Source organism: Homo sapiens, chromosome 6, assembly GCF_000001405.40.
Source record: "Homo sapiens chromosome 6, GRCh38.p14 Primary Assembly".
Lineage (NCBI taxonomy): Eukaryota > Metazoa > Chordata > Mammalia > Primates > Hominidae > Homo > Homo sapiens.
In genome coordinates this window covers 107,152,347-107,177,739 of record NC_000006.12, presented here as the reverse complement: position 1 = coordinate 107,177,739, position 25,393 = coordinate 107,152,347, and the positions used below count along the sequence as shown (strand labels likewise).

The window sequence follows — 25,393 nt, the reverse complement described above, 5'->3', positions numbered from 1 at the left end:
TTTCTATTACAGAGTTTGCTAAAAAGCTTTACAGTCCCAGTTTTGCTTTTGAATTTCAATGTGTAGAATTAAGTTTCTCTTTGGAATATGATACTAAAATTAAAAATTAACTTTGAATCAGAATATGGATAAATCCATGATTATTTATAAATCACCAAATATTCCTTTGGAAGACATGACAACCAAGAGGCAGTGATTGCTTTTCCTGTGAAATTAATCCTAAATGTAATATAATTCTATATTACTAACCTCAAATGCCAAACCTATCAAATGTTGATGCAAGTTTATAAATTAAGAATTACAGGCTGCGCATGGTGGCTCACGCCTGTAATCCCAGCAATTTGGGAAGCCAAGGCGGGCGGATCACCTGGGATCAGGAGTTTGAGTTTGAGACCAGCCTGACCAACATGGCAAAACCCCGTCTCTACTAAAAATACAAAAATTAGCCAGGCACAGTGGCACATGCCTGTAATCTCAGCTACTCGGGAGGCTGAGGCACAAGAATCACTTGAACCCGAGAGGCAGAGGTTGCAGTGAGCCAAGATTGCAACACTGCACTCCAGCCTGAGTGAGAGTGAGACCCTGTCTCCCAAAAAAAAAAAAAAAAAGAATTACATTACGTGTTTCAGCAGATACATGTAAAGAAAATAGAAAAAAAAAAAAGAATTACTTCGTCCATTTTGTCTCATTTAATTACATTTTGAGAGCAGGCATGTCTGCTCATACCCTGAAATGCAGGTTTTTTTGGTTTTTTTTTGAGACAGGGTCTCACTCTGTCATCCAAATTGACCTTCACTCCTTGACATAGCAAGCACTACTTTGTCTCAGTTCTTCTCTGCCATTCTGTCAACAATTAGGTCAATTTTAAGTGTACCAGTAAAATTATTTAAACTATATATAAATACCTCTAAACCATATAAACATGTTTATATGATGTAGATATATTTTATATCATATAAATGTATCCCTACCATATGGTTTAGGAGTATTTATACATATACAGTAGTATGGTTATATCTGTTCAGTTATGATAATTTGTACGAAATGAGCTGTTGCGTTGTGTTCAGCTCTTTGTGGATGGCAGGCCACAGCGTGAACTCACAAACGTACTTAGCAGAGAGGTTGAGCCTTGAAATAAGTTCTGAAGTCTCACTCCCAACAGGAGGCTGCATACCATCCAGACTAAGCATAATAGCCATACAGTTTTAAATTAGAAAACAGTAAAATTGATAAACGTGGAGGACAGGGCAAGAAAAACTATACTAAACATGCTTTTATATTTGTGTGTGTGTGTGTGTGTGTGTGTGTGTATGTGTGTGTGTGTGTTAAGGGGGAATAGAATACATTTTAAATAGTCAATATGATTTGGGAATTCATTTTTCAAAAATAGACATGTTTTGGCCGGGCGCAGGGGCTCAACCTGTAATCCCAGTACTTTGGAAGACTGAGGCCGGCAGATCACCTGAGGTCGGGAGTTTGAGATCAGCCTGGCCAACATGGTGAAACCCCGTCTCTACTAAAAATACAAAAATTAGCTGAGTGTGGTGGCGCTTACCTATAATCCCAGCTACTGGGGAGGCTGAGGCAGAAGAATCACTTGAACCCGAGAGGTGGAGTTTGCAGTGAGCTGAGATTGTGCCATTGCATTCCAGCCTGGGAGACAGAATGAGACTCTATCTCAATAAATAAATAAATAAATAAATAAAAGCAGTGAAAATAACCTGGGGCAATATTTGGTATTGTCACTGCATGAAACCACAAATACCACTACTGCAGTGAGTGCCTTTGGTTGATAATTTTAATAAAAATAAGTTTTGGTTAGTTAAGGATTTAAGTAAAAATATACTAGTTTTGTTTTGTGACTCAGTGGCGGATGAGATAATACCTGTCTTGCTCAGTGCCTTTAGGTTTAACAACAACAACAAAAAAGTATGACCAGAAGAATATACTTAATCAATTGAGATATGCATGACCTTTTTCTTAGCAGAAAATGTGGAAAATTTCTACCTCCAATTTCTACTGACATTTGTTCTACAACCATATGGCATTTTTAGGTTGGTGGAAAATATATATGTGTTGCAGTAGAGGTACATAATTAAATAATGGCTTCAATTTTCTGCAATCTCTATAAATATGGCTTTATCATAAGCTATTTGACTGGAGGTATTTTTTTTCTAATCTGTGATATGTATCTTTTAAAAAATCTGTCCTTGTACATAGGCATGCAAAGGACATTAGCGATATAGGTATGTGTTATGTTCTCAAATGAAATTGTAATGCTTTCTGGTTTGTTTAAGAGTGAAAGAAAGGGACTATAGCATATTGGTTAAGAACAAGAACTCATCTTGACTCCAGCACTTATCATCTGTGTTACTTTGGACAACTTGCTCTTACCTAAATTTGTTCCTTTGTAAAATGAAAATAATAGTAGCATCTACCTCGTAGGGCTGTTGTGAGGGTAGAAGATAGATATAGGTATAGATACAGATAGAGCGAGAGAGAGAGAGATCTTTTTTTTTTTTTTTCCTGAGATGGAGTCTCACTCTGTCGCCCAGGCTGGAGTGCAATGGCACCATCTCAGCTCACTGCAACCTCCACCTCCCAGGTTCAAGCAATTCTCCTGCCTCAGCCTCCCGAGTAGCTGGGATTACAGGCGTGTGCCAGCATGCCTGGCTAATTTTTGTATTTTTAGTAGAAACAGGTTTCACCATGTTGGCCAGGCTGGTCTTGAACTCCTGACGTCATGATCCACCCACCTTGGCCTCCCAAAGTGCTGGGATTCCTGGCGTGAACCACCACACCTGGCCAAGAGAGAGATCTTAGAACAGTGCTGGGCACACAGTAAGTACTATATATGAGATTGTCTTTATTGTCATTGCTGTTATTATTATTGCTTTTCTAATATTGGGAAACACTACTATTCTTACTGTATTTTTGCATGTGAATCTCATATGATTGAGAAATCTATTTAAAATTCTCTTTGTCTCTTTCTAGTTTTGTCAGATTAAGATGTTTAATTAAGATCGGTGAATTTTTTTTCCTATAGACTCTTGCAAATAATTTCTAACTCTGAGTAAAAAGGAATGCTTTTATGTTGTTTGCAATGCATTTCACAGTTTATTGTATTAGAAAACTGTAGCTTTTCCTTTTGTACCAAGTCTTGCCACTCAGAAGCTGTCAAGACCTTTCAGTTAAGCACTATCAGCTAGAATCTTGGGCTTGGGTAGACCTTTAGAGGCAGCGTCGTCCTATCTTTCACACTGGCGAAGAGTTTCAGTCATATTTTCTCCTACATGTGGTCATCCAGTCACTGAAGGCTTCCAATAATAGGGAACCCACAGCTTGTCAAAAATAATCATTCTGTTGTTAGACAACTCTAGTCATTTGAAGGTTCTTTTCTTATTTATAAGTGGAATCTTCTTCCGAGAAACTTTACCTTGTTGCTGTTTGTTCTGTCCCCTGAAGCACATAGAACAGGACTGTTCCTTCTTCCATTTAATTACTTCAGATATTTGAAGATGGCTTTTATATCCTCCCTTCCTCCAGGTTAAACATTCCCTAGGTGACATGTTTCCAAATCCTTCTTCATCCTAATACTGGACCCAATCTATCATGCCAGTGCCCCTCTTGACTCATGGCCCCCAGGACTGAAAATAGTTTTCTAAACATTAGTTGACCGTCCGTGTGCTGTGAGACCATTCCTGCCTGTGTTTTGGACATGTACACCTGCTGATGCTGCCAAAGTTTGCATTTGCATTTTTTTGTACCTACATCACAGCCTTGGCTGATACCAAGACTGTGGTTATTAAAGATTCTCAACATTTTTCATGAGTCACTGCCAAATTGCAGCTTATACTTTTACAATTAATTTTTGAAACCTAAATATACAACTATATAATTATCCCTGTTAGATTTTACTGGCTACTATCAGTCTTTTGTTCAACATGTCAATACCGTTAAAATTTTGATACTATCCATGTGTTACCTATCTCTCTTGGCTGTGTGACATCTGAAAATTAAAATTTAATATGCATTTCTTCTTCATCTTCATTCAAGTAATGCATAGAAACGTGATAAGAAGAAGAAACCAAGCATTAAGTTCTGGTAGCATGACACTAGAGACTGCTTTCCTGTTCTAAGCGTTTTTTTTTTTTTTTTTTTTTTTTTGAGACAGAGTCTCATTCCATCACCAGGCTGGAGTGCAGTGGCGCGATCTCGGCTCACTGCAACCTCTGCTTCCCAGGTTGAAGCAATTCTCCTGCCTCAGCCTCCCGAGTAGCTGGGACTACAGGTGTGCACCACCACGCCCAACTAATTTTTGTATTTTTAGTAGAGACAGGGTTTCACCATGTTGGCGAGGATGGTCTCAATCTCGTGACCTCAGGTGATCCGCCCGCCTCGGCCTCCCAAAATGCTGGGATTACAGCTGTGAGCCACCGCGCCTGGCCTGTTTTCCTGTTCAATATAAATCCACTACTAAACATTTCCTAGGAATAATTATTTTACATGTTCAAATCTATCTTACCATACTGTGACCTGTACCCTGTTTCTCTGCCTTATTCATGAAGGACTAAACTTCAAAAATCCAAAGTTACTCTATCTTTTTTTTTTTTTTTTGAGACAGAGTCTCGCTCTGTTGCCAGGTTGGAGTGCAGTGGCACAATCTCAGGTCACTGCAACTTCCGCCTCCTGGGTTCAAGCGATTCTCCCGCCTCAGCCTCCCCAGTAGCTGGGACAACAGGTGCACGCCACCACACCCAGCTAATTTTTGTATTTTTAGTAGGGAAGGGGTTTCACCATGTTGGCCAGGCTGGTCTCGAACTCCTGACCTCGTGATCTGCCTGCCTCGGCCTCCCAAAGTGCTGGGATTTCAAGCGTGAGCTGCCGTGCCCAGCCACTCTATCCTATTTCTGAAGCTACCAGCCAAGTGGCCACATTTTAAAAAAAAAAGAAGAAGAAAAAAAAAAAGAATGTGTGTGTGTGTGTTTTATTATGACTTGCTTATTGTGACCCACTTATCCTGGGGCTGCCACCACCATTGCCTTTTTTTCTAGAGCCCACAAACCATCTGTTTAACAACCCTTTTTGAAGTTTTGCCATAAATTCTCCATAAATTCACTGGTCTGTGTTTCAGAATGCTCCTTTGTCCTCTTTTTTAAAATTATTATTTATTTATGTATTTTGAGACGGAGTTTCACTCTTGTTGCCTTGACTCAAGTGCAATGGCGCAATGTCAGCTCACTGCAACCTCTGCCTCCCAGGTTCAAGTGATTCTCCTGCCTCAGCCTCCCAAAGTGCTAGGATTACAGGTGTGAGCCACCATTCCTGGCCTCTCCTAAGTCTTAAAGTCTTTCTCTAGTTTCCTTGGGCAGAAGTGGCTGCTGCCTCCACTTCTCCTAAGACTACTCAGAACCCATGCCGGGGCCTTCTCTTTAATATTTTAAAAGAACTTTTAGAACTTTTGAACTACATAGTTTTCAGAGACATACAGTGATTTTCTCAAGAGGGTCTTTTATGTAAGAGCAACATGTATCATTCAAAAGGTGTTTAATAAATGTTAAATAATAATGCACTTAATTTTAAGTACTTTGTATCCTCTTCTCTCTTTGTTAATATCTTTAATTGGATCCCCTAGCAGGGGATTTGGACTTAATTTATTTCAGGTGATACTGCACTTATACAATTATTTAGTTGACTTAATTAGAGATTTAATTATATTAGTGCCCTAAAGTGCTATATCAGAGAAATTAAACACTGACTGTTAATTCACCTTTCGTATTTATTGTGCTGTTTATGACTACAGCGATCTTCAAGCCATAAGGGCTTGAAGATTTGGAAAGTTCTTTCTATGCATCAGCTTGGACTTTGCCCATTCAAAATGTAGATGAAGGCAGGAATGGAAATGCCTTTTTTAGGCTGAGTGCAGTGCCTCACGCCTGTAATCCCAGCTCCTTGGGAGGCCGAGATGGAAAGATCACTTAAGGCCAGGAATTCAAGACCAGCCTGGGCAACATGATGAGACCACCCGCCATGCTCATGTCCACAGAATAAAAATAAATAAATTAGCCAGGCATGGTGATGCATGCCTATAGCCCTAGCTACTCGGAAGGCTAAGGTGGGAAGATTGCTTGAGGCTGGAATTTGAGGCTGTGGTGAGCTTTGATCATACCACTGCACTCCAGCCTAGGTGATGGAGTGAGACGCTGTCTCAAAAAGAAAAAAAAAGAACTTGAAAAAAATTGTGGTCTTTTATCTATGGCTATTAGAACCAAGATCATGGACGGTTGTGATGGTTCACACCTGTTACCTAGCACTTTGGGAGGCTGAGGCAGGAGGATCATTTGATCCCAGGAGTTTAAGATCAGCCTCTGGGCAACATGGCAAAACCCATCTCTACAAAAAATACAAAAATTAGCCAGGCATGGTGGCACGTGCCTGTAGTGCCAGCTACTCAGGAGGCTAAAGTGAGAGGATGGCTCAAGCCCAAGAGGTTGAGGCTACAGTGAACTATGATCTTGCTACTGCACTTCAGCCTAGGTGACAGAGTGAGACCTGTCTCCAAAATAAAGGCGTATTTAAAAAAAGAACAAAAAAGAACCAAGGTCATGGGTCCATTCCTTCACTGTTCTACTTAACCCTCTCTGTTCTACAGGCCTGTGACTACCTCTCTAACAGGTGGTCCTGGGAGGCAGCAACTGTGTTCCTCTCTGTATTTCCAGCATATACCAAATGCCTAGGTTATATAGGTGTCCAATAAACGCTTGTTGGTTTTAATTTGATTGTTGCAAAGACAACCAGTTGAAGTATGGTTAGAATAGTATAAACCTGGCTGGGTGCAGTGGCTCATGCCTGTAATCCCAGCACTTTGGGAGGCTGAGGTGGGAGGATCACTTGAGGTCAGGAGTTCGACACCAGCCTGGCCAACATGGTGAAACCTTATCTCTACTAAAAGTGCAAAAATTAGCCAGGCATCATGGCACATGCCTGTAATCCCAGCTACCCAGGAGGCTGAGGCAAGAGAATTGCTTGAACCTGGGAGGTGGAGGTTGCAGTGAGCCGAGATTGTGCCACTGCATCCAGCCTGGGTGTCAGAGTGAGGCTGTCTCAGAAAAAAAAAAGTGGGGGGGGGGGGGTGGTTCCAAGATGGCCGAATAAGAACAGCTCCAGTCTACAGCTCCCAGCGTGAGCAATGCAGAAGACGGGTGATTTCTGCATTTCCAACTGAGGTACCGGGTTCATCTCACTGGGGCTTGTCAGACAGTGGGTGCAGTGCACCGAGCGTGAGCTGAAGCAGGGTGCGGCATTGCCTCACCCAGGAAGTGCAAGGGGTCAGGGAATTCCCTTTCCGAGCCAAGCGAAGCTGTGACAGATGGCAACTGGAAAATCAGGTCACTCCCACCCTAATCCTGCACTTTTCCAGTGGTCTTAGCAAACGGCACACTAGGAGATTATATCCCGTGCCTGGCTCAGAGGATCCCACGCCCTTGGAACCTCGCTCATTGCTAGCACAGCAGTCTGAGATTGAACTGCAAGGCAGCAACAAGGCTGGTGGAGGGGCGCCCACCATTGCTGAGGCTTGAGTAGGTAAACAAAGCAGCGGGAAGCTCCAACTGGGTGAAGCCCACCGCTGCTCAAGGAGACCTGCCTGCCTCTGTAGACTCCACCTCTGGCGGCAGGGCATAGCCAAACAAAAGGCAGCAGAAACCTCTGGAGACTTAAATGTCCCTGTCTGACAGCTTTGAAGAGAGTAGTGGTTCTCCCAGCACAGAGTTGGAGATCTGAGAATGGACAGACTGCCTCCTCAAGTGGGTCCCTGACCCCCAAGTAGCCTAACTGGGAGGCATCCCCCAGTAGGGGCAGACTGACACCTCACACGGCCGGGTACCCCTCTGAGACAAGGCTTCCAGAGGAACAACCAGGCAGCAACATTTGCTGTTCACCAATATTCGCTGTTCTGCAACCTCTGCTGCTGATACCCAGGCAAACAGGGTCTGGAGTGGACCTCCAGCAAACTCCAACAGACCTGCAGCTGAGGGTCCTGACTGTTAGAAGGAAAACTAACAAACAGAAAGGACATCCACACCAAAACCCCACCTGTACATCACCATCATCAAAGACCAAATGTAGATAAAACCACAAAGATGGGGAAAAAACAGAGCAGAAAAGCTGAAAATTCTAAAAATCAGAGCGCCTCTCCCCCTCCAAAGGAATGCATCTCCTCGTCAGCAATGGAACAACGCTGGATGGAGAATGACTTTGACGAGTTGAGAGAAGAAGGCTTCAGATGATCAGACTTCTCCGAGCTAAAGGAGGAAGCTTGAACGCATCACAAAGAAGCTAAAAACCTTAAAAAAAGATTAGACGAATGGCTAACTAGAATAACCAGTGTAGAGAAGTCCTTAAATGACCTGATGGAGCTGAAAACCATGGCACAAGAACTACGTGACGAATGCACAAGCTTCAGTAGCCGACTCGATCAAGTGGAAGAAAGGGTATCAAGTGATTGAAGATCAAATGAATGAAATGAAGCGAGAAGAGAAGTTTAGAGAAAAAAGAGGAAAAATAAACAAACAAAGCCTCCGAGAAATATGGGACTATGTGAAAAGACCAAATCTACGTCTGATTGGTGTACCTGAAAGTGACAGGGAAAATGGAACCAAGTTGGAAAACACTCTGCAGGATATTATCCAGGAGAACTTCCCCAACCTAGCGAGGCAGGCCAGCATTCAAATTCAGGAAATACAGAGAACGCCACAAAGATACTCCTCGAGAAGAGCAACTCCAAGACGCATAATTGTCAGATTCACCAAAGTTGAAATGAAGGAAAAAATGTTAAGGGCAGCCAGAGAGAAAGGTCGGGTTACCCACAAAGGGAAGCCCATCAGACTAACAGCGGATCTCTCGGCAGAAACCCTACAAGCCAGGAGAGAGTGGGGGGCAATATTCAACATTCTTAAAGAAAAGAATTTTCAACCCAGAATTTCATATCCAGCCAAACTAAGCTTCATAAGTGAAGGAGAAATAAAATCCTTTACAGACAAGCAAATGCTGAGAGATTTTGTCACCACCAGGCCTGCCCTAAAAGAGCTCCTGAAGGAAGCACTAAACATGGAAAGGAACAACCGGTACCAGCCACTGCAAAAACATGTCAAATTGTAAAGACCATCGAGGCTAGGAAGAAACTGCATCCAGTAACGAGCAAAATAACCAGCTAACATCATAATGACAGGATCAAATTCACACATAACAATATTAACCTTAAATGTAAATGGGCTAAATGCTCCAATTAAAAGACACAGACTGGCAAATTGGATAAAGAGTCAAGACCCATCAGTGTGCTGTATTCAGGAAACCCATCTCACATGCAGAGACACACATGGACTCAAAATAAAGGGATGGAGGAAGATCTACCAAGCAAATGGAAAACAAAAAAGGCAGGGGTTGCAATCCTAGTCTCTGATAAAACAGACTTTAAACCAACAAAGATCAAAAGAGACAAAGAAGGCCATTACATAATGGTAAAGGGATCATTTCAACAAGAAGAGCTAACTCTCCTAAATATATATGCACCCAATACAGGAGCACCCAGATTCATAAAGCAAGTCCTTAGAGACCTACAAAGAGACTTAGACTCCCACACAATAATAATGGGAGACTTTACCACCCCACTGTTAACATTAGACAGATCAACAAGACAGAAAGTCAATAAGGATATCCAGGAATTGAACTCAGCTCTGCACCAAGCGGACCTAATAGACATCTACAGAACTCTCCACCCCAGATCAACAGAATATACATTCTTTTCAGCACCACACCACACCAATCCAAAATTGACCACATAGTTGGAAGTAAAGCACTCCTCAGCAAATATAAAAGAACAGAAATTATAACAAACTGTCTCTCAGACCACAGTGCAATCAAACTAGAGCTCAGGATTAAGAAACTCACCCAAAACTGCTCAACTACATGGAAGCTGAACAACCTGCTCCTGAATGACTACTGGGTACATAACGAAATGAAGGCAGAAATAAATATGTTCTTTGAAACCAATGAGAACAAAGACACAACATACCAGAATATCTGGGACACATTTAAAGCAGTGTGTAGAAGGAAATTTATAGCACTAAATGCCCACAAGAGAAAGCAGAAAAGATCTCAAATTGACACCCTAACATCACAATTAAAAGAACTAGAGAAGCAAGAGCAAACACATTCAAAAGCTAGCAGAAGGCAAGAAATAACTAAGATCAGAGCAGAACTGAAGGAGACAGAGACACAAAAACCCTTCAAAAAATCAATGAATCCAGGAGCTAGTTTTTTGAAAAGATCAACAAAATTGATAGACCACTAGCAAGACTAATAAAGAAGAAAAGAGAGAAGAATCAAATAGACGCAATAAAAAATGATAAAGGGAATATCACCACTGATCCCACAGAAATACAAACTACCATCAGAGAATACTATAAACACCTCTATGCAAATAAACTAGAAAATCTAGAAGAAATGCATAAATTCCTGGACACATACACCCTCCCAAGACTAAACCAGGAAGAAGTTGAATCACTGAATAGACCAATAACAGGCTCTGAAATTGAGGCGATAATTAATAGCCTACCAACCAAAAAAAAGTCCAGGACCAGATGGATTCACAGCCAAATTCTACCAGAGGTACAAGGAGGAGTTGATACCATTCCTTCTGAAACTATTCCAATGAATAGAAAAAGAGGGAATCCTCCCTAACTCATTTTATGAGGCCAGCATTATCCTGATACCAAAGCCTGGTAGAGAGACAACAAAAAAAGAGAATTTTAGACCAATATCCCTGATGAACATTGATGCAAAAATCCTCAATAAAATACTGGCAAACCAAATCCAGCAGCACATCAAAAAGCTTATCCACCATGATCAAGTGGGCTTCTTCCCTGGGATGCAAGGCTGGTTCAACATATGCAAATCAATAAACATAATCCAGCATATAAACAGAACCAAAGACAAAAACCACATGATTATCTCAATAGATGCAGAAAAGGCCTTTGAGAAAATTCAACAGCCTTCATGCTAAAAACTCTCAATAAAGGCCGGGCATGGTGGCTCACGCCTATAATCCCAGCACTTTGGGAGGCCGAGGCGGGCGGATCACGAGGTCAGGAGATCGAGACCATCCTGGATAACACGGTGAAACCCCGTCTCTACTAAAAATACAAAAAAATAGCCAGGCGTGGTGGCAGGCGCCTGTAGTCCCAGCTACTCAGGAGACTGAGGCAGGAGAATGGCGTGAACCCAGGAGGCGGAGTTTGCAGTGAGCCGAGATCACGCCACTGCACTCCAGCCTGGGCGACAGAGTGAGACTCCATCTCAAAAAAAAAAAAAAAAAAAAACTCTCAATAAATTAGGTATTGATGGGACATATCTCAAAATAATAAGAGCTATTTATGACAAACCCACAGCCAATATCATACTGAATGGGCAAAACTGGAAGCATTCCCGTTGGAAACTGGCACAAGACAGGGATGCCCTCTCTCACCACTCCTATTCAACATAGTGTTGGAAGTTCTGGCCAGGGCAATCAGGCAGGAGAAAGAAATAAAGGGTATTCAATTAGGAAAAGAGGAAGTCAAATTGTCCCTGTTTGCAGATGACATGATTGTATATTTAGAAAACCCCATCGTCTCAGCCCAAAATCTCCTTAAGCTGATAAGCAACTTCAGCAAAGTCTCAGGATACAAAATCAAAGTGCAAAAATCACAAGCATTCTTATACACCAATAACAGACAAACAGAGAGCCAAATCATGAGTGAACTCCCATTCACAATTGCTTCAAAGAGAATAAAATACCTAGGAATCCAACTTACAAGGGATGTGAAGGACCTCTTCAAGGAAAACTACAAACCACTGCTCAACGAAATAAAAGAAGACACAAACAAATGGAAGAACATTCCATGCTCATGGATAGGAAGAATCAATATCGTGAAAATGGCCATACTGCCCAAGGTAATTTATAGATTCAATGCCATCCCCATCAAGCTACCAATGACTTTCTTCACAGAATTGGAAAAAACTACTTTAAAGTTCATATGGAACCAAAAAAGAGCCTGCATTGCCAAGACAATCCTAAGCCAAAAGAACAAAGCTGGAGGCATCATGCTACCTGATTTCAAACTATACTACAAGGCTAAAGTAACCAAAACAGCATGGTACTGGTACCAAAACAGAGATACAGACCAATGGAACAGAACAGAGCCCTCAGAAATAATACCACACATCTACAACCATCTGATCTTTGACAAACCTGACAAAACCAAGAAATGGGTAAAGGATTCCCTATTTAATAAATGGTGCTGGGAAAACTGGCTAGCCATATGTAGAAAGCTGAAACTGGATCCCTTCCTCACACTTTATACAAAAATTAATTCAAGATGGATTAAAGATTTAAATGTTAGACCTAAAACCATAAAAACCCTAGAAGAAAACCTAGGCAATGCCATTCAGGACATAGGCACGGGCAAGGACTTCATGTCTAAAACACCAAAAGCAATGGCAACAAAAGCCAAAATTGACAAATGGGATCTAATTAAACTAAAGAGCTTCTGCACAGCAAAAGAAACTACCATCAGAGTGAACGGGCAACCGACAGAATGGGAGAAAATTTTTCCAATCTACTCATCTGACAAAGGGCTAATATCCAGAATCTACAAAGAACTCAAACAAATTTACAAGAAAAAAACAACCCCATCAAAAAGTGGGCGAAGGATATGAACAGACGGAAACTCAAAAGAAGACATTTATGCAGCCAATAGACACATGAAAAAATGCTCATCATCACTGGCCATCAGAGAAATGCAAATCAAAACCACAATGAGATACCATCTCACACCAGTTAGAATGGCGATCATTAAGAAGTCAGGAAACAACAGGTGCTGGAGAGGATGTGGAGAAATAGGAACACTTTGACACTGTTGATGGAACTGTAAACTAGTTCAACCATTGTGGAAGACAGTGTGGCGATTCCTCAAGGATCTAGAACTAGAAATACCATTTGACCCAGCCATCCCATTACTGGGTATATACCCAAAGGATTACAAATCATGCTGCTATAAAGACACATGCACACGTATGTTTATTGCGGCACTATTCACAATAGCAAAGACTTGGAACCAACCCAAATGTCCATCAATGATAGACTGGATTGATAAAATGTGGCACCTATACACCATGGAATACTATGCAGCCATAAAAAATGATGAGTTCATGTCCTGTGTAGGGACATGGATGAAACCGGAAACCGTCATTCTCAGCAAACTGTCACAAGGATGAAAAACCAAACACTGCATGTTCTCACTGGTAGGTGGTAATTGAACAATGAGAACACCTGGACACAGGAAGGGGAACATCACACACCAGGGCCTGTCGTGGGGTGGGGGAAGTGGGGAGGGATAGCATTAGGAATTATACCTAATGTAAATGACGAGTTAGTGGATGCAGCACACCAACATGGCACATGTATACATATGTAACAAACCTGCACGTTGTGCACAGGTACCCTAGAACTTAAAGTATAATTAAAAAAAAAATTTTTTTTAAGTATAAACCCAAAACAACAGTCTTAAAATACAGTGACTCAAAATACATGCCCCAATGAGTAGGTACTCCCAAATCTGGCTAATCACTGGAATGACCTAAGAACCCTTTTTTTCAGTCCTGATAGACTCTATCTCCAGGGCTAGAGGCCTAGGCATCTGCATTTTAAAGTTCCCCACATGAGTCTTACGGCCAGGCAAGTTTAGGAACCCCAGCTTAATGTATCTGTTGTCACGTTTATTTAAAAAAGAACAAGATCAGCTGGGCGTGATGGCTCACACCTGTGATCCCAGCACTTTGGGAGGCCGAGGTGGACGGATCACCTGAGGTCAGGAGTTCAAGACCAGCCTGGCCAACGTGGTGAAACCCTGTCTCTACTAAAAATACAAAAATTAGCTGCGTGTGGTGGCATGCACCTGTAATCCCACCTACCCAGGAGGCTGAGGCAGGAGAATCGCTGGAACCCGGGAGACAGAGGCTTCAGTGAGCCGAAACCATGCCACTGCACTCCAGCCTGGGTGACAGAGCAAGACTCCGTCTCAAAAAAGAAAAAAAAAAAAAGAACAAGATCATTCTTTTCAAGATAGACCTATTGCCCATTCTAGTTTGCAGTAAAAATGAGTTTCATTTATGGTTTATCATAACTAAAGGATTTCCTTGGAGTCAGTAGTTTATGTTTAGCTAGCAGGAGTGTTTACAGATGTCAGTGAGGAATAATACCTTTCATGAAGGATTATATTACTGATAAGTCATTACTGGTGGGCATTTTACACATGAAAGCTATCAGGTTCCTCCTTGGTATGCAAAGCCCTGTGAGCCCAAGTCTGGAGTTGAGTATTGACTAAAGTAAAATAGTCATCAGGTATGAGAAATTAAATCCTCTAGGACTGTGATGTCCTCCTGGTTGCTCTTTTGCCCTAATCTGAATTACCCTTTTATCATAGTATTAAATACCCTGTTAGCTATCATCAGATATTTAGTTTAGCCTGGCTGAATAAAGCTCATAGAGGAACAAACTAAATGAAACAGTCAGGGGAATGTAGAATGTAAAACATTCTGGAGTGCAGGCTGGTCTTTCAAAATGACAATGTCATAGCAGAAAAAAGATTAAAGTGTCATAACAAACAAATGTGATTTATGAACTGGATTTATCATAGTTTAAAAATATGGTTAAATAAAAGCCATTCTGGAACCAATTGGAGAAATTTACACCTGGACTAAATGTTAGATAATTCAGCCCTGTGCCAGAATTATCGGGGCTGGGCACAGTGGCTCATGCCTGTAATCCCAGCACTTTGGGAGGCCAAGGCAGATGGATCTGTTGAGGTCAAGAGTTCGAGACCATCCTGGCCAATCTGGTGAAACCCCAACTCTACTAAAAATACATAAATTAGTCGGGTGTGGTGGCACATGCCTGTAATCCCAGCTACTCGGGAGGCTGAGGCAGGAGAATTGCTTGAACCCAGGAGGCAGAGGTGCAGAGCTGAGATTGCGCCACTGCACTCTAGCCTGAGTGGCAGAGTGAGACTCCATCTCAAAAAAAAAAAAAAATTAGGGAATTCTTGACAAAATAAAAAGAAAAAGTGTAAATTTTTAAAAATTGGAAACTTGAACAAACAAAAAATAAATAGGGAATGCTCTCTCCTTTTTTTTTTTTTTTTTTTTTTGAGATGGTCTCACTCACTCTGTCACCCAGGCTGAAGTGCAGTGGCATGATCTTGGCTTACTGCAACCTCCACCTCTCGTGTTCAAGCAATTCTCCTGCCTCAGTCTCCCAAGTAGCTGGGATTACAGGTGCACGCCACCATACCGGGCTAATTTTTGTTTTTAGTAGAGATGGGGTTACACCATGTTGGCCAGGCTGGTCTCACTCCTGGCCTCAAGTGATCCATCCCCCATGGCCTCCCAAGTGCTGGGATTACAGGCGTGAGCCACTGCGCCCGGCCGGGAATTCTCTAATTAGTTTTTCTAGTTAGCTTTCCTAGCTGTGACAATAGTATTGTGATTATGTAGGACAATGTTCTTCAGAGATGCATGTCAAAACAAGGGTGAAGCATCCTGCAGCCAATGATGTGCCCAAACCAAGTCCTAACGACTCACAGGCTATTATTAAATCTTCAAGAATTGTGTGACCCCACCACCCTTGGCAGTTTGAAATCAGCCATAATGGGAGTATTTATACCACAAAAATCTGCAAATGCAGGCTTTTGTCCCCCAAGAGAACTAATTTACTAGCATATCACTATCGGCGGTTTACTTTCAAATGGATCAGAAAACACACACACAGACACACATATAGATAGAACAAAAATGGCAAAATACTAACAATTGTTGCGATTGTTGAATCTAGGTAGAGAATCTATGGTCATTCATAGCACTAGTACTTGAGTCAGCAGACTTTTTCTGTAAAGGCCAAACTGTGAATATTTAACACTTTGTGGCCATACAGCCTCTCAGGCAACTCTGCAACTCTGCAACTCTGCCTTTATAGCACAAAAGGAGTCATGGATAATGCTCACATGAATGGATGTGGTTATTCCCCAACAAAACTTTATTTATGAGAACACAGGGTCAAATTTAGCCTAGGGCCATGGTTCAAGTTTTCTGTACTTTGAAAATAATTTATAATACAAATTGAACACTTTTTAAAAGTACAAATTTCTTTTTTTTTTTTTTTTTCCTGAGACGGAGTCTCGCTCTGTCACCCAGGTTGGAGTGCAGTGGCACAATCTCGGCTCACTGCAAGCTCCACCTCCCGGGGTCACGCCATTCTCCTGCCTCAGCCTCCACAGTAGCTGGGACTACAGGCGCCCGGCACCACGCCTGGCTAATTTTTTGTATTTTTAGTAGAGACGGGGTTTCTCTGTGTTAGCCAGGATGGTCTCGATCTCCCGACCTCGTGATCCGCCCGCCTCAGCTTCCCAAAGTTCTGGGATTACAGGCATGAGCCACCGCGCCCGGCCAAAAAGTACAAATTTCTTAGCCTAGGCTGGGAGTGGTGGCTCACGCCTGTAATCCCAGCACTTTGGGAGGCCGAGGTGGGTGGATCACTTGAGCTCAGGAGTTTGATATCAACCTAACAAAAATTGTGAAAACACATCTCTATTAAAAAAATACAAAAATTGGCCATGCGCAGTGGCTCACACCTGTAATCCCAGCACTTTTGGAGGCCGAGGTGGGCAGATCACCTGAGGTCAGGAGTTCGAGACCAGCCTGACCAACATGGAGAAACCCCATCTCTACTAAAAATACAAAATTAGCTGGGCATGGTGGCACGCCTGTAATCCCAGCCACTCAGGAGGCTGAGGCAGGAGAATCTCTTGAACTTGGGAGGCACAGGTTGCAGTGAGCCAAGAAACAGCAAGCTGTTTCATACTGATCTGTTTTCATTCCCTGGACACTCTGCACACTTTGGCCCCCTTTGTGCCTTTGCTCAAACAGTTTTCTTTCCCTACAATTTCCTTGCTACTCCCAAGCCCATATCTATTTATCAGCATTTACAAGACATCAACTGGCCGAGGTGACACACGCCTGTAATCCCAGCACTTTGGGAGGCGAGGGGCAGGAGGATCATTTGAGGCCAGGAGTTTAAAACCATCTTGAGCAATATAGTGAGAATGTGTCTCTACAAAAAAAAAAAATTTAAATTAGCTGGGTGTGGTGGCAGGTCCCTGTAGTCCCAGGTACTTGGGGGCTGAGATGGGAGGATTGCTTGTGCACAGGAGGTAGAGGCTACAGTGAACCATCATGATCCACCACTGCACTCCAGTCTGGGTGACAGAGGAAGGCCTTTTAGAATCTCTTTCAGTTAAAGTTGATCTCTCATTTCTCTCAATAGCTGTAGTCCTACATTTGTGCCCTGGTTTTGCTGCTTTTCACAGTTTACCCTTAATTAACTCTTGTTCTTTGTGTTTTTTTGTTTTTGTTTTTGTTTTGTTTGTTTTTTGAGACAGAGTCGCACTGCAGCCCCCAGGCTGGATTGCAATGGCGCGACTTTGGCCCACTGTAACCTCCACTTCCTGAGTTCAAGCAATTCTCCTGCCTCAGCCTCCCAAGTAGCTGGGACTACAGGTGCACGGCACCATGCCCAGCTAATTTTTGTATTTTTAGTAGAGATGGAGTTTTACCATATTGGCCAGTCTGATCTCGAACTCCTGACCTCAAGTGATCCGCCCTCCAAGGCCTCCCAAAGTGCTGGAATTACAGGAGTGAGCCACCGCACCCAGCCATCCCTTAATTAACTCTTGATCCACAAAGCAAAGAAGGCTTATTCTACTCTTTACATATAGTAAATACTCAATTAATACTCATAAATTAAACATCTTATCTAGTCATGCAGACATTTACATACCTAAAGGTGCTAACCTAGAAGTCTAGAATAGGAGGAGAATGTTGGTCTGCCTAATATCAATTTGGAGAAGAGATAATGAAAATAGGGGAGCTTGGCCCAGCGCAGTGGCTCACGCCTGTAATCCCAGCACTTTGGGAGGCCGAGGTGGGTGGATCGCAAGGTCAGGAGATCAAGACCATCCTGGCTAACACGGTGAAACCCCACCTCTACTAAAAAAATACAAAAAATTAGCCGGGCATGGTGGCACGTGCCTGTAGTCCCAGCTACTCGGGAGGCTGAGGCAGGAAAATCGCTTGAACCCGGGAGGCGGAGGTAGCAGTGAGCCAAGATCGCGCCACTGCATTCCAGCCTGGGCAACAGAGCAAGACTCCATCTCAAAAAAAAAAAAAAAGAAAAGAAAGAAAATAGGGTAGCTTGCTTGCTTTCTCTCCCTTCCTCCCTCCCTCCCTCCCTTCTTTCCCTTCTTCCTTCCTTCCTTCCTCCTTCCCTCCCTCCCTTCCGCCTCCCTCCCTCCCTCCTTCCTTCCTTCCTTCCCTTAAGACTGCTCTGATCCAAGTCCAGTTAGCTTTGAGGTTATTGTATATCACGTCAAAATAGACTTGATCTTGGTGGGTGGGATGGCTTTCTTGGTAATGGCTATGGGCTTAATGAAGGGAAACTAAGTCATCCGAGCATCTATTGTGATTTAGGCACTATCAGGCACTCTGTGCAGTGTTATGTAGTCCCCCCAGCAGTCCGACAAGGGACTTATATTATCCCCACTTAGAACTGAGAACAGTTAAGGCCGGGCGCAGTGGCTCACGCCTGTAATCTCAGCACTTTGGGAGGCTAAGGTGGGCAGATCACCTGAGGTCAGGAGTTCAAGACCAGCCTGACCAATGTGGTGAAACCCTGTCTCTACTAAAAATATAAAAATTGACTGGGTGTGGCGGTGGGCACCTGTAATCCCAGCTACTTGGGAGGCTGAGACAGGAGAATTGCTTGAACCTGGGAGGTGGAGGTTTCAGTGAGTCGAGGTTGCACCATTGCACTCCAATCTAGGCGACAAGAGTGAATCTCCATCTCAAAGGAAAAAAAAAAGAAAACAGTTAAATGGTTTCCATAAGATTATAAAGCTAGGATAGGAGTTTGAATCTGGCTGCTTCTGATACCCAGCACCATTTTAGTGCCTTTGTGCATTCAATGATTGGCAAGAGACCAAGGAAACCTAGGCTAGAACAGTTCCCAAAGGCTATATGCAGTGTGGAAATATCTGTGAAGTGCTGAGAATCTGATGGAGTTTAGTATTAAGTGCCACTGGACAAGGCATTAGAAAACCTGGCCTCTGGCGGAGCACAGTGGCTCACGCCTGTAACCCCAGCACTTTGGGAGGCTGAGGTGGGCAGATCACCTGAGGTCAGGAGTTCGAGACCAGCCTGGCCAAGATGGAGAAACCCCGTCTCCACTAAAAATAAAAAAATTAGCCAGGTGTAGTGGTAGGCGCCTGTAATCCCAGCTACTCGGGAGGCTGACGCAGAGAAATGCTTGAACCCGAGAGGTGGAGGTTGCAGTGAGCCACAATCGCGCCACTGCACTCCAGCCTGGGCAACAGAGTAAGACTCTGTCTCGAAAAAAAAAAAAAAAAGAAAGAAAACCTGGCTTCTGATCTCTACTCTGCCTGCCTCCATCTGTGATCTTGAGTCACTGAGTTTCTCTGGACCTCTGTTCTCTTGACTGTATAATTAGAGGAATAAATCAGCTTATTTATTTTATTCATTCATGTTTCATGCATTATACAGTAAGGACCTTGAAGTCTCATGAAGTCATAGATAAGTGAATGGAGAATTAAAATACAACACTAAGTCGGGCGCAGTGGCTCATGCCTGTAATCCCAGCACTTTGGGAGGCCGAGGCAGGCAGATCACGAGGTCAGGAGTTCGAGACCAGCCTGAACAACATGGTGAAACCCCGTCTCTACTAAAAATACAAAAAAATTAGCCAGGCGTGGTGGCGGGTGCCTGTAATCCCAGCTACTTGGGAGGCTGAGGCAGGAGAATCGCCTGAACCTGGGAGGCAGAGGTTGCAGTGAGCCAAGATCGCGCCATTGCACTCCAGCCTGGGTGATAGAGGGAGACTCTGTCTAAAAAAAAAAACAAAAACGCTAAAACAATACACTACTCCAGATGTGCACAGGGAGTACTCCAGGTACCCAGAGGAAGAGGAGCAACTAGCTCCTTAGGGCCATCTTCCTAGCTCAGTGCATTCCACCCAGGTGGAATTTGGGGAGCTTGTTGGGGTGGGGGAGACAGCCCCAGGGGGAGATGGTAGATCAGGTTACCTCTGAGAACTGCAGTTGGTTCCCCTATAATTAAAGGGGAGAAGGTTTGGGAGGCTGAGGCAGGAGGATCTCTTGAGCCCAGGAGTTTGAGATTAGCTTGGGCAATATAGTGAGACTTCATCTCTACAAAAAGTTTTTAAAATTAAACAAGGATAGTGGTGCATGCCTGTCTTCCCAGCTACCCGGGTGGCTGAGGTGGAAAGATCACTTGAGCCGGGGAACTGGAAGTTGCAGTGAGCCAAGATCACACCACTGCGCTCCAGCCTGGGTGACAGAGCAAGACTCTGTCTCAAAAAATACATAAATAAATAAAGGAGGAAAAGGGGGGAAAAGTGAGGCCAAGCAAGAGCTAGCTTGGCAAGGGACTTAAATGCCTCATGAAAGAGCTTAGACTTTTCTCTTAAGGCTATTGGAAGGGTTTAAGCAAGATTGTCTTTGCATTTTATTAAGATCTCCTTGGCAGCATAGTAGATGGAGTCCAGGGGTGCAGACCTGGTGGTGGGAAGACTCTTTAGGAAGTGATTGCAAAAACTAACTGAGGTGAGAGATGATGATGGCCTGAACTAATGTAGTGGCAATGGGAATGAGGAGTAGAGGATAAACTTGAGAGCTCTGAAGAGATAGAAAGACTGGGATTCATTGTTATCAGTCAAAATGGCTACAGATAATTTCACAACCTCGGCTGCCACAGGTGGGCGAGGCACTGTGGTGCTCATTACAGTCACTCAGGGATCCAGGCCAAGGAGCATCTCCAGTGTGGGCTGGTAGCTGTGCAAGAGGGAAAGCTCTCTAAGGACTCACAGGACAGTTAAATGCTGCAGCCACAAAGTGACATCCCTCATTCACAACTCATAGACCAGAACTTGTCACCTGGCTACACCCAATCTCTGGGAGCCAGAAAGTTCAGCTGTGAATGAGCAACCCTGAGACTGCCCCTGTGCCTAACCGGATGTGGGGAATGAAGACGTCTGGGTTTCTGACTTAGAGAATTAGCCAGACTGGCCAGGCATGGTGGCTCACGCCTGTAATCCCAGCACTTTGGGAGGCCGAGGTGGGCGGATCACAAGGTCAGGAGATGGAGACCATCCTGGCTAACACGGTGAAACCCTGTCTGTACTAAAAATACAAAAAATTAGCCGGGCATGGTGGTGGGTACCTGTAGTCCCAGCTACTCGGGAGGCTGAGGCAGGAGAATGGTGTGAACCTGGAAGGCAGAGCTTGCAGTGAGCTGAGATAGCTGCATCCCAGCCTGGGTGACAGAGCGAGACTCCATCTCAGGAAAAAAAAAAAAAAAAAAGCATTCAGGCCGGGCACAGTGGCTTACGCCTGTAATCCTAGCATTTTGGAAGGCTGAGGCAGGCGGATTGCCTGAGGTCTGGAGACGGAGACCAGCCTGGCCAACATGGCAAAACCCCATCTCTACCAAAAATACCAAAATTAGCCAGGTGTGGTGGCAGGCGCCTGTAATCCCAGCTACTCAGGTGGCTGAGGCAGAAGAATTGCTTGAATCCGGGAGGCGGAGGTTGCAATGAGACAAGATCATGCCACTGCACTCCAGCCTGGATGACAGAGCGAAACTTTGTCTCAAAAAAAAAAAAAAAAAAAAAAAAAAAAAAGGCCGGGCAAGGTGGCTCATGCCTGTAATCCCAGCTTTTTGGGAGGCTAAGGCAGGGGGATCACGAGGTCAAGAGATCCAGACCAGCCTGGCCAACATGGCGAAACCCCTTCTCTACCAAAAATACAAAAGTTACCTGGGCGTGGTGGTGCACACCTGTAGTCCCAGCTACTTAGGAGGCTGAGGCAGGATAATCGCTTGAACCCGAGAGGCGAAGGTTGCTGTGAGCAGAGATTGTGCCACTGCACTCCAGCCTGGCAACAGAGTGAGACTCCGTCTCAAAAAAAAAAAAAAAAAGTAACATTCAGATCTAATACTATGTGTCTTTCTTGAATTTTCATATGGACTATTGTGTCAACATATGGTGTTAAAAAAAAAGTTATTAACTAAGATATTAGTGAAGCCTTCCTCACATAAGAATATCAGGCTGCTGGCCAGGTGCGGTGGCTCACACCTGTAATCCCAGCACTTTGGGCAGCCTAGGCAGGTGGATCACTTGAGGTCAGGAGTTCGAGACCAGCCTGGCCAACATGGCAAAACGCTGTCTCTACTAAAAAATACAAAAATTAGATGGGTGTGGTGGCGCATGCCTGTAGTCCCAGCTATGTGGGAGGCTGAGGCAGGAGAATTGCTTAAACCCAGGAGGCGGAGGTTGCAGTGAGCCGAGATCGCACCACTGCACTCCATCCTGGGCGACAGAGCGAGACTCCATCTCTTTAAAAAAAAAAAAAAAAAAGGGAAGAATATCAGGCTGCTGAATTCAAAATGCCAGAGATGTAAATGCCCTCCGCCTTCTTACTGCCATCCCCCAGCATGGCACATTTCAAGATATTAAGGGATGGGAGTCAGGAGGAGCTGTAATTAAGCTGATTGGAACCTATTGTGCTGCTCTGGAGCACAGACACCAAGCAGCCTTAGGGAATGAGTGCCTCAAGATCACTGGGAAATGATGTCCTCTTTTCCAGAAAATAACGTAGCAGAAATACTCAATCTATACTATTTCTCCCTTTCTTTGTTTTCCATCTCCCCTCCCCAATTTAATTGTGGTGCTTACTGTGTACCTTTAAAACTGACTTTTATCATGCATTTGTTTCTTAACAGTTGCGAGAAAGAATCAAAGCTGGCAAAGGTGTGACTTCAGCTATTGACCTGTGTCGTTACCATGGAAACAAGGCACTGGAGGCCCTGGAGAGCTTTCCTCCCTCGGAGGCCAGATCTGCTTTAGAAAACATTGTGTTTGCTGTGACCAGATTTTCATGACATCAAATTAAAAAGACACTATTGTTAGTTAGCTGAAAATCCTAGGGAATGAGGTTGATTGGGAGCGCTTTCACGATGCGTTAATGACTTTTAAAACATATGCATTTTTCCTTCCTTTTATCACATTGCTAAATGAGTTCTGCTTTCTTTTTGGAACTGCTACAAACAAAATTAGAAGAAAAAAAGGTCAAGCAGTTTTCACTTGTCACGCCAGAAGCACACTTGAGGCTGCAGTCGCAGAAATAATTAATGAGATTCGCTCCTGTGACCTCAGCAAATGGACAGGAAATAAGTCCTTATTGATTGGACCGAGCCAGGGATGGCGCCAGGGCGGTGGCCTGTGGTTTTTCCTGCTAGAGAGGACAAAGCAAGTTGGAAGCTGCAGGTGTCAAGAGAAATGCTCTCAATACCAACCAGGGAGGATTGTCTAATCAAAAACTAGTGACCAATTTGTCATAATGGAGAGTAGTTCAATGGATTGAGAAAAATATGTTTTATTTGTTGGCTTGTAATTATGTCTCTGGATTATTATTATTTTTTTTTTAGATGTAGTTTTGCTCTTGTTGCCCAGGCTGGAGTGCAATGGTGCAGTTTTGACTCACTGCAACCTCCGCCTCCTGGGTTCAAGTGATTCTCCTGCCTCAGCCTCCCGAGTAGCTGGAATTACAGGCACCTGCCACCACGCCTGGCTAATTTTGTATTTTTAGTAGAGATGGGGTTTCACTATGTTGGTCAGGCTAGTCTCGAACTCCTGACCTCAGGTGATCCGCCTGCCTCGGCCTCCCAAAGTGCTGGGATTAGAGGCTTGAGCCACTGCACCTGGCCTCATGTCTCTGGATTTATAATGCAGTATGAATATACTTTGTGCTTTATGGTTTTTATAATGTCTTTTTGGAGAAATTGCCGAAAAGTTGCCAAATACTTGAAGTAGGAGATTAAAATGTTATCAAATGTTAAATTGGTTATATTAGGAATAGTCTGTTTTTCTTTCCTGAAGATCAGTTTTTTTATTCAAACACATTTCAAAGAACCAAATTTTTTTTTTCTTTAAGGAAAAAGGAGCTTTTTTTCAAGTGAAATGTATTCATTTGTAATACTTTGGTTTAAGGCATACTTTAATTTTTACGAGTTTCAGAAACAGAATTTTTGTACTAGGGAATTCATTGGTGAGAGTGTTCTTTTAACCTCAGAATGTCAAATTTTGGTCTTGAACCACAGACATCCAATTACAGAAAGAATATAAGCAATCTCACAGGCCTGCAATCGGACACTGTCTCTGTGTGGTTCATAGGAGATGATTTTTGAGGTTTGCACTCATGCAATTTGAGAACACCGTTGACAAGAAGGCTGAGTTTACATAAATGATCTAGATTGAAACTCAGCTACCTTTCTTCCTCATGTGGTGTAATTACAGCCCTATCTGGAGACAGCGAATACAGCAAACAGATTTTATTACCTAGTTCGCTCAAACACTACATGAAGTTATTTTAGTTAAAGCCCTCCCCCAAAAGTTATAAAACCATTTTATCAGGGCCCAACATGTGGCATGCAATGAAGAGAAAATGTAAAGCTACAGAGGTTAATGTATTGTATTATAAAATATTTTAAGTGTACTCAAAATATCATAATTGTACAGTTTATGCCACCATAATTTGAGGCCTATAGATTTAGCTTAAGAGAACACTGTTCTGTTTGAAATGCTTTCTGTCACTGAAATTGGCTTAATTAGTAACCATGGATAAGATGCTTTAGATCAGACTAGGTTTTAATCATTAACTTCCACAAAGAAGTCATACTTTGCGTTAGGTGTGCTGGTTGGATGTGCAGGAACTTCAGCAAGCAGTAGGTTTTACTAAGCAGATGGTCGGGCACTGCAGGGCACCAGGCAGGATCCTAGGGCGCCTCTTATTCTGCGTTAGCATCTGGTTTGCTGTATGACCTTGCACAAGTCACTTCCTTCTGAGCCTCAATTTTCTCATCTGTACAATGAGATTCAAAAGTTGACCTGAAAGTCAAGTGTGAAAAAAAAAAAGAGATTAAACAAGATAATTATGAAATTCTTTCCAGGTTTGTTTTATTTTCTGAAAGTTTACTATTCTTGACTGTCTAAATAGCAAAGATGCTGTGTGAGGTTCAGGGAGGAGGGAAGGTGAAACCCAAAGAGAGGCCCTGAAGGAATGGAGAGAGCTTAATGGCAAGCTTCCTGCCAAGCTGCCTCTGCATGACCTAAAGGATTCCAGCTCTCCTATGTGACATGTAACCCTGGACTTTT

The 25,393-nt window shown here is 43.2% G+C and overlaps 1 protein-coding gene across 13 annotated transcripts in view; it reads left to right on the top strand.

The window, feature by feature from the left end:
• PDSS2 (decaprenyl diphosphate synthase subunit 2) overlaps window positions 1–25,178 on the top strand; it is a 307,003-nt gene extending 281,825 nt beyond the window's left edge. For all 13 annotated transcript variants that reach the window (XM_011535960.4, XM_047419100.1, XM_047419098.1 and 10 more), the window contains one exon: window positions 22,963–25,178. In XM_011535960.4, the coding sequence (XP_011534262.1) occupies window positions 22,963–23,121 (159 nt within the window). In that variant the 3' untranslated portion in view covers window positions 23,122–25,178. The remainder of the gene's footprint in view (window positions 1–22,962) is intronic.